General features: G+C 44.2%; 1 protein-coding gene across 1 annotated transcript, besides 4 other annotated features; it reads left to right on the forward strand.

Annotated features, from left to right (window-relative positions):
- Positions 7,435-11,317, forward strand: GPR88 (G protein-coupled receptor 88). Its single transcript, NM_022049.3, has 2 exons — positions 7,435-7,798; positions 8,190-11,317. Exon 2 carries the CDS (start codon positions 8,263-8,265, stop codon positions 9,415-9,417), a length of 1,155 nt encoding a protein of 384 aa, NP_071332.2. The 5' UTR covers positions 7,435-7,798; positions 8,190-8,262; the 3' UTR covers positions 9,418-11,317.
- Positions 7,859-8,708: an enhancer, noted in NCBI's record as "H3K27ac-H3K4me1 hESC enhancer chr1:101004119-101004968 (GRCh37/hg19 assembly coordinates)". NCBI's record gives its function as "activates a minimal SCP1, AML or CMV promoter by ChIP-STARR-seq in naive H9 embryonic stem cells {active_cell/tissue: H9 hESC(naive)}" and the evidence as "EXISTENCE:reporter gene assay evidence [ECO:0000049][PMID:30033119]".
- Positions 8,157-8,556: an enhancer, noted in NCBI's record as "active region_1384". NCBI's record gives its function as "activates an Ori minimal core promoter by ATAC-STARR-seq in GM12878 lymphoblastoid cells {active_cell/tissue: GM12878}" and the evidence as "EXISTENCE:reporter gene assay evidence [ECO:0000049][PMID:35858748]".
- Positions 8,709-9,557: an enhancer, noted in NCBI's record as "H3K27ac-H3K4me1 hESC enhancer chr1:101004969-101005817 (GRCh37/hg19 assembly coordinates)". NCBI's record gives its function as "activates a minimal SCP1, AML or CMV promoter by ChIP-STARR-seq in naive H9 embryonic stem cells {active_cell/tissue: H9 hESC(naive)}" and the evidence as "EXISTENCE:reporter gene assay evidence [ECO:0000049][PMID:30033119]".
- Positions 8,827-8,996: a silencer, noted in NCBI's record as "silent region_1121". NCBI's record gives its function as "represses an Ori minimal core promoter by ATAC-STARR-seq in GM12878 lymphoblastoid cells {active_cell/tissue: GM12878}" and the evidence as "EXISTENCE:reporter gene assay evidence [ECO:0000049][PMID:35858748]".

The following is a 14,816-nucleotide window of genomic DNA, read 5'->3' on the forward strand; positions in this document are numbered from 1 at the left end:
CATCATTACAAGGTTTCATATATCTCAGGCAAAGAATTTCAGGATGAAATACACTATGTTATTGCAGCTTCATGATTCTATAAATTCATAATTTCAAAAAGCTCTACCACTATGGTTTCTTGTGATGGTGAATGCTCACGTGCAGCTGAATTACTCTCAAATCTGGCTATAAAACAGCATAAAGATGTTGTTCTTTTGGAAAATATAGAGTTGAAAGAGGCCCATATCAACATAATTCTCAGTTGTGTAATATCTGAGAGACCAAGATCTGAAGAAATACAGCTGGGGTTGGAAATGGGATTTTAGACAGTCTCAGTGTTGTGCTCAGTGAGGTTGCTCTGTGGCTTGGCTAACAGCACAGAGGGGAGAAAGGCAACAGGAAATGAGCACTTTTTCACTGTTGCTACATACCCTTCGGTTTCGCAAAGTATGAGAGACAGCTGCTACATCATGTTTTGGTGGATCATGAAATTCAGTACCAGGAAAGTCCACACTGGATCCTGTCAGGATCAGGTGTGGGGTTCTGTGATGTGTTTTCAACAAACACTCTGTTTAAAAATAATCTGGTAGCATAAACCAGGAGGATGTGGTTACATGAAGGTTTTAAAGTATTTTAGAAAAATAAATACAATGCTCTGCGGCATGATCTACTAATGTGAGTTGTGTCTCTTGAGAAAGATAATTGAGGTTGAAATCTTGATCCCACATATAAAGGTTCCCAAGGGACATATTCAGTCAGCACATGATTAAATATTTACAACATGTCATGTACTCTAATCAAAAAGAGAGTCTAGGCCCCTTACCGTTGACTAGCTTACCGCTTGGAGAGGGGATACTCAATGCCGGAGAAGTCAGACCACGGCAGTGATACACTCAGGGGCTTTGGGGGCACACAGGCTAGGCAATCTGGTCATCAACTTTAGTTTATTTTCTGTTGTTCCTAACAACAGAATACCTAAAACTGGATAATGTATAAAGAAAAGACATTTATTTCTTACAGTTATGGAGACAAAGTCCAAAGTCAAGGAGGGGCTACATCTGGCAAGGGCCTTCTGCCGGTGGGGACGCTCGGCAGAGTCCTAAGGTGGTGCAGGCCATCACGTGGTGAAGGGGTTGAGTATGTTAGCTTAGGTCTGTCTTCCTCTTCTTATAAAGCCACTGATCCCCCCTCCCATGATAACTCATTCATCCATTAACCCATTAATCCATGAATCCACGAATGGACTAATTCATTAACGAGGGCAGAGCCTTCATAACCCAATCACCTCTTAAAGGCCGCACCTCTCAATATTGCTGCATTGGGGATTAAGCTTCAACATGAGTTTTGGAGAGGACAAATGTTCAAACCATAGCACTGGGATCAAGAAAGACTCCCTTTGTAGGTGAAGTCTAAGCTCAGGCGTGGAAGATGAGTAGGACCTAGCTGGGCAAAAGTGGGAGCACATGTGTAGGGGCAGAGAGGCAGCCAAGGGGCGAGCAATGCTGTCAACAAAGATGCTTGGATGGGAAAGAGGAGAGGCTGGGGCACACTCAGGGATGGCAAGTGGCTGCAGCAGAGTGACAGGAGGGAGCGATGGGGCAGAGAGGTCATGTGGGAACGTATGCAGGGCTGTTTCAAGGCTTCTGCAGACCTGGATGCTTTTGGAGACTCCATTATACAATATATTAAACATATTAAAATGCACCCCAATTCCACATAAGTAATTTATACACAATGATGACTTTAATTGCAGGTGACTATTTAATAACATATTACCTTTTTAAAAGTTTTCCTTTTGTATTTCAGAGCCAGTAATTTTTTTCCAGATAGCAGTCATTTTAAAGGGGTCTTGCAAAGCTGGTAGGCTCTAGGCACTGTGCTTAAAACAAATGATAAAATGGACTTGGCTTTTGTGTCATAAGCCTGCAAATTGCATCCCTCTGCCCCAGTATCCAGTCTCATTTTCCCTGCTCTCTGGAGTTTTAGCGGGGCATGTGGCCTTTTGGCTGGACAATCCATTCCTAGTTTCTTTTGCAGCAAGGAGCAGCCATGAGACCAAAGTTTTGGCTGTGGAGATGTGTGCAGAAGTGATGTTTGAGATTTTCAGGTCACATTCGTAAAAAGGAAGCTGGCTGCCCTCCCTTCGCCTTTCTCCTTTCCTGTGGGCTGGAATGTGGGTGTAGTAGTGGTGAAATAACTTCAGCCGTGTAGACAGGGGAAACCTCAGTGTGCATCAAAGTCACCTGGAGAGCTTGTTAAAACACCGATCTCTGGATACCATCTCCAGAATTTCCGATTCAGGGGGTGGGGACCATTTCTAACAAATTCCCAAGTGACGCTGCTGCTGATCAGGGACCACACTTTGAATACTAGTGCCCTAGGGGATGATGGAGTGGCAACAGAGGAGACACCTGGGTTTCTAGATTATCTTGTAGAGTAGATCTGCTTTCTACACGGACTGCTCAGTTACCCCCATGGCAGATAAATAAACTGTTATTTATTTTTTTGAACCACTGTAGTTTTGGATCAGTTTGTTACAGCAGCGTAATCTATAGCAGCTAAGTCATGTTCAGGAAATTGAACTTTACCAAGGGAGGCAGTATTGTATAGTGGATGTATATGGGGCCAAATAGCATGCATTTGAATCCCAGTTCTGCTACTTCTGAGCTGTGTGATCTTAGGCATGTTATTTAACCTTGTTGTGACTCAGTTTTCTCATCTATTGAATAGATCCTGAGGGACAAGTTCACCTAGAGCTCATTCCCTTTCTAGACTATATCCAGTAGCAGGGCCTAGAATTCCCTGCCCAGTAGCCATGAGCAGGTTCCAAAGTCTGCATGGACCTTTCTGGCTTTGTCCTGATGGCTGACTATACCTACCAGTACCCTTGGTCTGAGATGTTGCCAAGGGGTGGCTGTGGGACGGTGGTGTGGGTAGAACTCAGTTGGGCAGGCTAGAGTGTTCTACATTAGACATGAGGCCTCTCTGGCGTGTGATGACAGAGCAGAGGGTGGGGAGAGATGGGGGTGAATTGCAGACCAGTGGCACACTCTCCAAAGAAGTCACATTCAGGTAGCACAGAACAACCCATGAGTGTGATGAGAATTCTATTTTTTTTTTTAAGACACAGGGTCACATTACGTAGCCCAGGCTGGAGTGCAGTAGTGCAATCATAGCTCACTGCAGCCTTGAACACCTGGGTTCAAGCAATCCTCCCAAGTAGCTGGGACTAAAGGTGCATACCACCACAATGGCTAAGTTTTAATTTTTGTAGAGACGAGGGTCTGGCTATGTTGCCCAGTTTGAGGCTTGCCTCAAACTTCTGGCCTCAAACAATCTGCCCACCTCTGCCTTGCAAATTGCTGGGATTATAGGTGTGAGCTATTGTGTCTGGTCAGAATTCTAAATTTGAGTCTGGCTCTCCAGTTGTCATGAAAGTATATTTGTTAAGTTAGGAGAATAGAACATATTTAATAGTTTGATAGCTGGATTTATGATTTTAAAATATTTAGACATTGGCAGGCAAACTTCCTTTTGAACACCTGCTCTGCCCTGCAAATTTAGGTGGGGGGGGTGGGGGAGACTGGGTACCTTGTCACCCTGGCATGAGGAATAAATGTAACAACAGATAAAAAATACTCAAAGCATGGCTTGGCACATATGGTATGTACTCGACGGCATTGAAAATAATGATGTTTATGATTCTCCTGAAATCTTAAAAAGGAAGCTGGCTGCCCTCCCTTCATCTTTCTCCATCTCTGTGGGCTGGAATGTGGATGTGGATGTAGCAGTGGTGAAATAACTCCTGGGGGGAATTTTATCTTAACCTTGACACTAAGAAAGGACAAGATGGCACAAGAAAAATAAACCAAGTGGGCTTTACTTATGATGCAAAACTCTTAAATAAAATACTACCAAATAGAATCCTACAGTCTATCTTTAAAAGGATAATATATTGTAACCAAACAGGGTTTATCAGAGGAATGCAAAGATGATTCAACTTTTAAAAATATATCAAATGTAACCTACTACATCAACAGCTAAAAAAAAATTCACTTCATATAAAAGTCATACTAGAAATAGATAGAAATGTCTCTAACTTATAAACAATATATCAGAAAACTATAACAAACACCATATTTGATAGTGAATTATTAGAAACACTAGGGTAACAATGGGGACTATTAACCAAATCAGTGACCATAGGAGAATGAGTGGGATGAGGAGGGAGAGAGGCCAGCCGAATGGAGAGTTCCAACACGTCTGCAACTCTGGAAAGAAGTAAGCTTGGTGGGAAAGAATCTGTGGGTGACCCATAGGCGAGAGTGGAAGGCAGGAATCAGATGAGATCAATTAGGGAGAGAGAGTAGGGTGAGAAGAGAACCAAGAAGAGAAGCCAGGAACACTATCTTAAAGGAGCCATGACACTGGGGAGCCAGAGACTGAGTCTGGAAGGGAGCAGACAGAGGAACAGAAGCAAAGGGAAACCTGGAGGGAAATGGCACTGAGGAGGAGGGTGTTCTTCACAGAGTCAAAGTAGAGGGCAAGGATTTAGGAGTCACGATTTGCTACTGAGAGGCTACTGTTAACCTTGGCCAAAGCTGTTTCTGTGGAGCAGGGAGAGCTAAGGGCCGTGTGGGTGGGTATTCAATGGTAAAATCAGAAGTAGAAGGAGAAAATGAGCACTTCCATCAGGAAGGGGAAGTGAGCTGTGTGTAGGCACCATGAGAAGGAGGTGAAGTTCCAGGGGAGTTTTATGAGGTTGTGGTGAAATCAGCATTTTTGTAAGTCTGAAGGGGAGCAAGCAGTGGAGAGCAGAGAGACTGACAAGAGACAGCAGAAAGCAGATGACTGATGGGGCAAGTTCCTGCTGAAGGTGGGAGGAAAGAGATGCTCATAAAAGTGAATTACTGTTTCACCGTGGAGAAAACATAAATGAAATCATTTACACTGCCATTCACTTATTAATTCAGTAAGTATTGATTAAGTTTCTACTATGTCCCAGGCACTGACCTGGTGCTGGAAATAAGATAGAAAAAATTCCCACCCTATATTATGTAAGTTCATTAACTTAAAACAAAAGGAAAACCAAATCCAGAAACAAACAAAAATTTGGCCCCTGTCAGGCCAGCGCTAAGGGAGGCATGGTCTTGGAGGAAGTGTGTGTGACTGCCAGGCACTGGAGTCCCTCAGCAGGAATGCTGCTCGTCTCAAAGGCAACACAAAGTGGCAGCTGGGACCAGGGATCCAGAATTTGAATACCCTCCCACCACATTCTATCAGAGAGTCCTTTAGGACTATGTTAATGTGAGAGAAAAAACTTTACTTCAATGGCAAGTTTTAACTATGAATGATTAGGAGAGTCTCCTTTCTCCTGAAACATTGCTCTTAGGGACAGAGTGGAAAAGACTCCTGGACATATGGGCCAGAACTACAATGCATGTTACAGAGAAGAGGTATACGCCATGTGTCATAACTAGAAAGGAGAAATGCAGGCTTGCTGTGCTTAATGCACTCAAAACCTCAATAAGGACAAATGGCAATAGGCAAAAAGATGATGACAAATACTCATCTCATTTACATCAGTAAACTTGATATCGAAACCTTCAACCCTCTGAATAGCAAGTCACTGGTTCTTTTCTTTCACTTCCCCCTCCGGCCCCTGCCCCTGCCCCAACCAATTTCATTCAGATATAGCTTAGCTGGACCAAATCTATCAAGTCATGCTTATCCTTAATCCTCATCAGAGTTCTTGAAGTCATCAACTAACCATATTGATTTTGAAATAGAAAAAGAAAAGCAGAGAAGCTGTGTTTTGACCTCTCTCCTGAAACATTGCTCTTAGGGACATATGACCCAGAACTACAACTGCAATGCATGTTAGATAGAAGAGGTATATGCCATGTGTCATAATTAGAGAGAAGAAATGCTAAATTCATGAATAGGGATTCACAGAAAGTTTTAACAGAAAGGGCCTTTGAAGTGACTGACTGTGAACTTATTTGACAAGATGAAAATAATCCATCGCAAGGCTACATGATGGATGCTCGGCTTAGTATCTGGGTGTGCTGCAACCCCACCTAACATTTTTTTCTATTATGCCATGTTACCATATTCCCATATTGAGTTACATTTTCAAATACATGACTTTTCCAGTGAATAATTGAGAGAACTCCTTTTCTGAAAAAATTCCCACATGGAATGGATAAATGAACACTTGCACCAAAGAAGATGCCAACATCAGACTGCAAATCTCCAAGACAGACAAGACAAAAAGTTCTGAAGTGAAAAGTCATCTTTGTTCACACTGTGGATTATTCAGGTTTCTTGCTTTCCCCCTGACACACATTTTTTTAAAATTGACTTTATTTTTTTAGAGCAATTTTAGATTCATGGCAAATTTGAGTGAAAGATACAGAGATTTCCCATGTACTCCCTGCCCCTCGCATACATAGCCTCTCCCATTATCAAAATCCCCCACCAGAGTGGTTCGTCTGTTACAATTGAATGTACGTTGACACATCATTCCCCAAAGTCCATGGCTTACACTGATGTTTCACATTCTGCCACTTTGGGCAAATTTATAAGTACACAGATCCACTATTATGGTATCATACAGAGTAGTTCCACTGTCCTAAGAATCTTCCGTGATCATCTATTCATTCCTCCTTTCCCCCTAACTCGGGCAACCACTGGTCTTTTTAACTGTCTCCATAGTTTTGCCTTCTCAAGAATGTCATAGTTGGTAGCATACAGTATGTAGTCCTTTCCAGTTGGCTTCTGTCACTTAGTGATACACACTTAAGGTTCCTTCATGTCTTTTCATGGCTGGACAGCTCATTTCTTTTTAGCACTGAATAATATTCCATTGTCTAGATGTACCACTGACATCTGCTTTAAATCTTTTGCCCATTTCATTTTTACCCTCTAACCATTTCATTACTAAAACACAAAACAAACTCCGGAAAGGAGTTTGTTGATGAGAAAACACTGAAAGTACGATTTAAATTGAGGAATGGAGATTTTCTGTGGATAATTGTCTATGTTCCACTTTACCAAAGAAAAATGAATTTCAAGTAGTGCATAAAGTAATTCTCGTTAAAAAATGTGGGAATAAAGAGATCAGTCCTGGGTACTGGGAATATATTTATCTCACAGAAAAATCTTGCCCACAAAATGCATCAGACTGAGATGAAATACTCTAGGGTATATTAAATTTTATTCTAATATTGAAGGGAGGGAAAAAAAGGACGGAAAGAAAAATGAAACAGGATGAAAAATAAGGTGATTGGGAGAGAGAAAAGACAGAGAAACTTGTTAACGACAGGACTTTCTGAGCAAGATATTTTTCTTCCTTTTACAAGTTGGAAGCTATTGAATAATTCATGCCAAGCGTGGAAAGGCTGTCTTTTCCCTGGATGATGTATAACTAAGCAGGAGAGAGCTTCGAGTGGGTTCACCACATCAGCCACCACTCCTGCTTCTGAGCACAGGGTGCTCTCCTCTTGAGCTCAGCTTCTGCTTTTGCAGCCAAGCATTCTTGCTGCTGCTGCCTGCCTGCCCACCCGCCTGGGCTTGCAGCCCGCCACTTTACTTTCTCCAGCCCTGATACCAGCTGAGAAGTCTCCCTGCAGCTGCTAGTTCCTGCCCAGGACCATGTGTGTGGATGCTGCTTGGGAGAAGCGGGCACTTGCTCCTGGCACTGATCCCAGCTGAGTTTCTCCTGTTGATTTCTGGACCACTGATGCTGTTGCTGAGGAGGTATTTCCCGGCATCCCTCCCCCTGAGACACCGGCTAAGGACCAGCCTAAACGCAAGGTAACCTTCACCTCTTTCCCATGGGATTTTCCCCAGCTGGGATATCTCTGCTTTCTCCTGGAACTAGGTCCTCCAGCTGGCAACATATCTCTCTCTCTCTCTCTCTCTCTCTCTCTCTCTCTCTCTCTGTGTGTGTGTGTGTGTGTTGGGGGAGAAGAGGAGACTGTTTTAGGTATTGCTCTGTCCTAGGGCTTCCCCGATACCTGCTGAATCCAATGCAAAGTGGCCTTTCCCCTGGCTCTGGAGACATTTCCGAGGCAGGCACCTGTCATCTGCCACCCCCGTCCTCCTCCTCGAGCTCCCTTTCTCCCCCTCCCCCAGCCCATTATTCTGCTTCAGCCTTTTGTGTCAGTGGCAGAGGGCTGAAGGGATGTCTTTGCCCTTCTGGCAGGCAGGACAGTGTCAGGATGGACCGCGCTGCCAGAAGCCGACGCTAGCGAGGGAGGTGTGAAGAGTTGGCCAGAATGACCAACTCCTCCTCCACATCCACCTCCTCCACCACCGGTGGCTCGCTGCTGCTGCTCTGCGAGGAAGAGGAGTCGTGGGCGGGCCGGCGCATCCCGGTGTCACTCCTGTATTCGGGCCTGGCCATCGGGGGCACGCTGGCCAACGGCATGGTCATCTATCTCGTGTCGTCCTTCCGAAAGCTGCAGACCACCAGCAACGCCTTCATCGTGAACGGCTGCGCCGCCGACCTCAGCGTCTGCGCCCTCTGGATGCCGCAGGAGGCGGTGCTCGGGCTCCTGCCCACCGGCTCTGCGGAGCCCCCCGCAGACTGGGACGGCGCTGGGGGCAGCTACCGCCTGCTACGGGGTGGGCTGCTGGGCCTCGGACTCACGGTGTCCCTCCTCTCCCACTGCCTCGTGGCCCTGAACCGCTACCTGCTCATCACCCGGGCGCCCGCCACCTACCAGGCGCTGTACCAGAGGCGCCACACGGCGGGCATGCTGGCGCTGTCCTGGGCGCTCGCCCTGGGCCTCGTGCTGCTGCTCCCGCCCTGGGCACCGCGGCCCGGCGCCGCGCCACCGCGAGTCCACTACCCGGCGCTGCTGGCCGCCGCGGCGCTGCTGGCGCAGACAGCTCTGCTGCTGCACTGCTACCTGGGCATCGTGCGCCGCGTGCGTGTCAGCGTCAAGCGGGTCAGCGTGCTCAACTTCCACCTGCTGCACCAGTTGCCCGGCTGCGCCGCCGCCGCCGCCGCCTTCCCGGGCGCCCAGCACGCGCCGGGCCCCGGTGGCGCCGCGCACCCGGCGCAGGCCCAGCCCCTGCCGCCCGCGCTGCACCCGCGGCGGGCACAGCGGCGTCTCAGCGGCCTGTCGGTGCTGCTGCTCTGCTGCGTCTTCCTGCTGGCCACGCAGCCACTGGTGTGGGTGAGCCTGGCCAGCGGCTTCTCGCTGCCGGTGCCCTGGGGAGTGCAGGCGGCCAGCTGGCTCCTGTGCTGCGCCCTGTCCGCGCTCAATCCGCTGCTCTACACGTGGAGGAACGAGGAGTTCCGCCGCTCCGTGCGCTCAGTCCTGCCGGGCGTCGGCGACGCGGCGGCCGCTGCCGTTGCCGCCACAGCCGTGCCCGCAGTGTCCCAGGCGCAACTGGGCACCCGCGCCGCGGGCCAGCACTGGTAACCTAGCCGGGGCCCGAGGGAAGCGGAGATCCCCGGCTTCCGACGTCCTTGGGCACCGTCGCCTCCTTCCCTCCTAGGGCATCCCCTGCCTGAACGAAGACTTCCGCCGCGAAGCCCGATAGATCGGGGGAAAATGGGGCCTTCGACCCCAGCGGGCTACCTGAACCAAGGCGTCTCTTTAAGTGGGGCGCCCGAAGTCATTTTGGACGGCCACCTGATTTTTACCCTTTGTTTCTGTGTTTTAGAGGAATCCTAAAGTCAAAACACCAGAGACTTGAAGAACTTGCAAACTGGCGTTTTAAAATAACCGGTTAATTTATTTCCACACAGTTTGTTTTTGAAAAAGAGCTTTCATAATGTATAACCCTTTCCACTTTCATCGTCTTATATATGAAGCGCCTTGAGTGTGCATGAACCAAAGGAAATAACATTGAAGAAGGAAAACAATATGTAGAAAGTATTTTAGAAAGTAACCTGTCTTTGATGATGCTTCTCTTACCATTTAGTTTTTGTATATTACCCTGGGGCAGTGAAGCCCTAGGTGTGCCCACCAGTATGAGTTGCCATTAAGACCTCAAGCCCTTTATTCTTAAAAGGGTTTTTAATAAAGTCTTTCTCAAATGAGGTAGAATCTTAGCCAGTGAGAAAAAAAATTATTTTATGCTCCTTTTTTTTCGCACTCTTAAGACTGAAAATTGGCGTTGAGTGTTATAGTGAAAATTTTCCAGTTTGATAATTGATGGTCAGAGCCAGCACTGGAATTTTGAAAACAAATAAGGTGATTATCTATTTTAGGTACCGTTTCACATTTTCTATAGCATGCACACTTGTTGCTACCCTCATTTTGTAACCAATTTATTTGCCTTATGAATGTGATTGCAGCTTTGAACATTCTGTACTATAATGGTTGCTAAGAAGAATAAGTCCTTCTGTTTTCTCTTTAACATTTAAAATATCTCAATGCACATGATATAATTAAACACTAATAATACCATGACTGCATAGCTAATATTAGCTGCTATTGCATGCTCCTAGATGCTAGAACTTATTGGGCATGTGGTATACTGAAGCAATACCCGTTAGACAAGGATATTTTACTTCTTCCAGACACCAGAAGAAATGGCCTTCAATTATTTGAAAAGAGACACAGAGACACCTCTGGCTACCTAGAGTTCTTCCTGTCTTGACCCAATTTATGAGAAAGCTCCCAGTTGGGACTTTATCTCACAAGTGGAATCACAGTCAAGACGGATCAATAATATGGTTTGGCTCAGCAAAGCCAGCTGTGCTCTTTTAGGGTTTAAACAAGCCACACGTTAGAAAGCAACACTGTTTTTATGTAGTTCATATATATTACCATGACATTTAACATCAATATCGTATATGTTGAAGGAGGTATAATAAACTCAGTCATATATAGTGAACAGTTCAAATGGGAAAGTGTTCTAAAACATATTATTTGAGATTTGTCATATTCATCTTTGGTTTACTAAATTTACTTAGAAATATTTGAAATGCAAAATTGTGTGAAATCACCTTATCAAATTAAAATGGGAAGAAAGTAATTTTAATAATTTTTAATAATCATATGTCAGCATTCTGACTACTTACCACATCAAATCTGGGCCCAAACAGCCTCAGTTAACTGCATAATTCAGGAACAAAACCAGCTTGCTTTGTTGCACGCCTGGGCAATTTCAGCCAGGACATTAGGACCACTTGTTGTACATCTGAATAATTATGGAAGTTGGGACATGTTAAGGAAAACAAATATGTTCATCACCAACAATCAGCTGTCATTTTATTAATCTATCCCTTTTGTGCATGCACCATTTCTCTCTTACTAACAGTTTCATCTGTTCACATTTTCCTTGATTCAAATATTAAAGTTCAGACAACTATTCTGAGTTTTTTTTCTTCTGTCTCTGGTTTCCTTGCATACCTCCTTGAGAACGTTGTAACAGAGGATATGGTATTCCAAAGCACTAGTGATGAAAGTAACTTCTTCTTGCTGGCTTTATCTAATTTTAGTTTGTACAGTTATTTCTACTTTATATAATTAAATAAGGCCCACATACCAGCATCAAAGAGAAATAGGTAAAATTTCCTTTCTGTAAGTGTTGGGGAATAAGTTACAACAACAGAGAGCTGAGAATTTTCCTTTTGGGGTGGGGCTGGAGGGGGGATGCTTTTCTAAGTCTCTGTCAAAAAGGTCTTCTTTTAATTAGAACTTTATCTCTGTTTCTCACTGTAAATGGCTGTGAATGACTTCCCCCGCTATTCCTATAAACATCTGCCACGCATATGAAGTCAGCTTTCCAAGTGGTATCTTGATATCTTGCAATGTTTCTGGCTAGCACTGAGAATCATCTTATACTGGCTCCATGCCAATGGGAGACCTACTTTAGCTTAATTTACTGGTAATTAACTCCACAGGACTGATTCACTTTTAATTTCAAGGTAGTAATGATGTGTCTGAAAATGGCTTACCAGGGCACTAGCTGTGAGTGTTGGAGTTGTTGGATTTACAAATTAACAGAGATCATGTTTTTATTTAAATGAAACCACGTATTATCCACTCAGGAATAAAAAAAATCCTAATTGCTGTTGTGGGCTTCCCTATTTTGCCTTTTCTACTTTTTTCTCCCTTTAGATATATGCCTGTTAAGACATATAGCACCTGCCTCTCTTCCCCTTGCATTTTAAATAGCTAAATTCTAGGATGTAATAGAATTACATATTACCCCTAGCACTTCCCTTCTTCCAAATTGTAGTATGTGAATAAACAAGAATTGTTTTTCACAAAAGCATCCACAGGTGATCTTTGTTTTAAACAAGACAGGGAGGGTTCCAAGATCAGACAAGTTTTCCTGTGTCTCAGAATTAGGGAGAAAATTTCTACAATGGGGGTATTGTTTTTTTTTCAGGAGGACCCAGTTGGAGGATAGAGTGGGGCTGAGGAAGGGGGAAGGGGCTTATTTTAATCCTCACATAGAGAAAGTCCTTGAAAAGACCTGCTTACCAATGGAATGTCAGCTTGCTTTAAACTAATGGGCAGTGCAAGCTTGTTTTTCTGATAATAACCACATTGGTCAACTTCACTGTCTCATGTGTGACCTTTCTTCTGTCTCCCAGCATTCAGACAATGCTCATCTGGCTCTTTAGTAGTCCTAGGAGCTGACTTGACAAAAGACATCAGTAGCATAAGTTAAATTCAAGAACACTGAGAAAAATTGTAGATATCCCTTACTTTTGAGGCCTGTCCTTAAAGTTTGTGGGTTGCTGGGCAAGAGTGGAGCTCCAGATGGAGCTCTCAGTCTTCAGGAACAAGGTGGGAGGACCCTTTCTTCCCCCCTCCATTTTAACATCTCAAGGGTCCTCATACATAGGTGTATGACTCAGCCCACAATTCCCAGTTCTGCCTACAACCATTCCCTCACTAGCCACCTTGCCACTACTGGGACCTAATGGTGGAACACAAGCAGGGGCCAGAGCATCCCCTGGGAGTGGCCTCGAGCCATTTGGGCATGGAATTCCTGGGTTCCAAGTACCAGCTCCTGTTGCGGGAGGCACAGGCTCTGAGTGGGCACATTTCATTGGGACTTCTTTCCCTTTGGGAAGGGTAGCCAGAAAAGGGCAGAAGCAGAGCTTTTAAGGCCTGAGACCCAGGCTGGGTTCCCACATTCTCTAAGGGCAATACTGCTTCCAATACAGCTTGCACATACGCCCTCTAGAGGCATCCTTTCCTAGCCCCTCCCATCTTCAGGGACTTTTTAAACAGGTGCCACACACAGAGTGCCCAGATACTTAATCATATCCTGCCTGGTGCAATAGGTGAGGAGGATGGTGAGGAGGGAGTAGGATGGATTTATATAAAACAAGAGGTTGGATATTGATGATTGTGGAAGGGGAGTGATGGGTACATGGGGAGGCATTCATTGCACAGTTTTCTCTACTTTTGTGCTGTATCTTTGAAATTTTTCATAATGACAAGTTAAAAAAAGTGAAACTAAACTAAAAAAATAAAGAAAAAAGGAGAAAAGTAAAGAAAGAAAAGTAACATTCCTACGGTCACAGAATGATTAAATGGATGGGCTGGGATTCAAGTCTTTGACTGCAGAGCATGAGGTTGTAAATACTGGGCTGTAGGATAAAATAAGAATTTTAAAGTCAAGAGTAAAATTCTCTCCATGATGTGGCCATTCCCTAACTTCCCAAACCTATCTCTCCCATACTTGCATCCTTGGCTGTTGCCTGGTTGATGTATACACTACCTTTGAAACATGGCCCATGTTCTGTGTCTGAGACTTGGTGTATCCAAAGACATTTCTGGGATGTCCTAACTTTTCATCACTTATCTAGCCTCCATCCTGCCTTCCAAGAAGACTCATTTAGTTTCTGTCTCCTCCTTAGAGCTCCCACCACAGCCATAAGCTCTGTCTCCAAAGAACCGCCTGTACCACTTTGTTCTGACCACATATCCCCTTCTCCTATTGTCTCTTTCTCAATGTGCATGTCTTGTCTTCAAAAACAGATAGGAAAAGGTTTTTGGTTTTGTTTTGTTTTTATTTTTCAATTCCTTTGACTTTTAAGGGCAAATACTGTCTTCTATCTTTTTGTAACCAGTTCTCTGAAATATACCGTATATTTAATACATGTTTATAGTTGAAGACAGTAATTTTAAAAGAAAAAAGGTTTGGTCCTTTCCCTTGAATGTTTATTGTTCTCTTAATGAACTAGACCCAAGAATAAATCCTAGGTCCCACCTTATATCTTACCAAAAGATATTCCAGAGTAATACCTTGTGGGATTATCAGCATTGTAAGTCACATGCTGTTGGTGCTGTCAGCGAGGGTGATTTATACACCTGTCATATCCAAGCGCTGTTCGCACTGACTAATGCAACAATAGAAAGTCTTGGTCCTAATGACTACTTTAAATTCAAAGCCAAATTACTTAAGATGTGCAATTATTTCTCAGGGCCTTGCATAGAAAAACTGTGTATTTTTTTGTTTGTAAAAGCCTTAAACATTGCTATTCAATAGCCATGCAATTTTGCCGGAATGCTAGGAGAAATAACTATGGGAATGTCTTTACGACTCCTTGTCACTTCAAAGCCTAACAGGCCTGAAAAAAGTACTAGACATCATCTAGGATGGCTTCTTGCTATTTTTATTAGATAGAAAGTGCTTTAATTTTTAATCTTTCCTGGTATAAATTAGGCTCCTTTACCATTTTTCTATTTTCAGGGAGTAGAAAACTATGTAGCATCCTTCATATAGTAATGCTGTAACAGATACTCTGCTTTTAGCCAAATGAAAGTTCTATGAAATATTAGCATGGTTGAATCTGCAATTAGCACAAAAATTTTTATTTTTAAAGTGACATTAGTTTTTCTAC

The sequence above is a fragment of the Homo sapiens genome, chromosome 1 (assembly GCF_000001405.40).
Source record: "Homo sapiens chromosome 1, GRCh38.p14 Primary Assembly".
Lineage (NCBI taxonomy): Eukaryota > Metazoa > Chordata > Mammalia > Primates > Hominidae > Homo > Homo sapiens.

Excerpts from the sequence above, each read along its gene's own strand:
- GPR88 (NM_022049.3), top strand. The coding sequence starts at position 8,263 with ATGACCAACTCCTCCTCCACATCCACCTCCTCCACCACCGGTGGCTCG.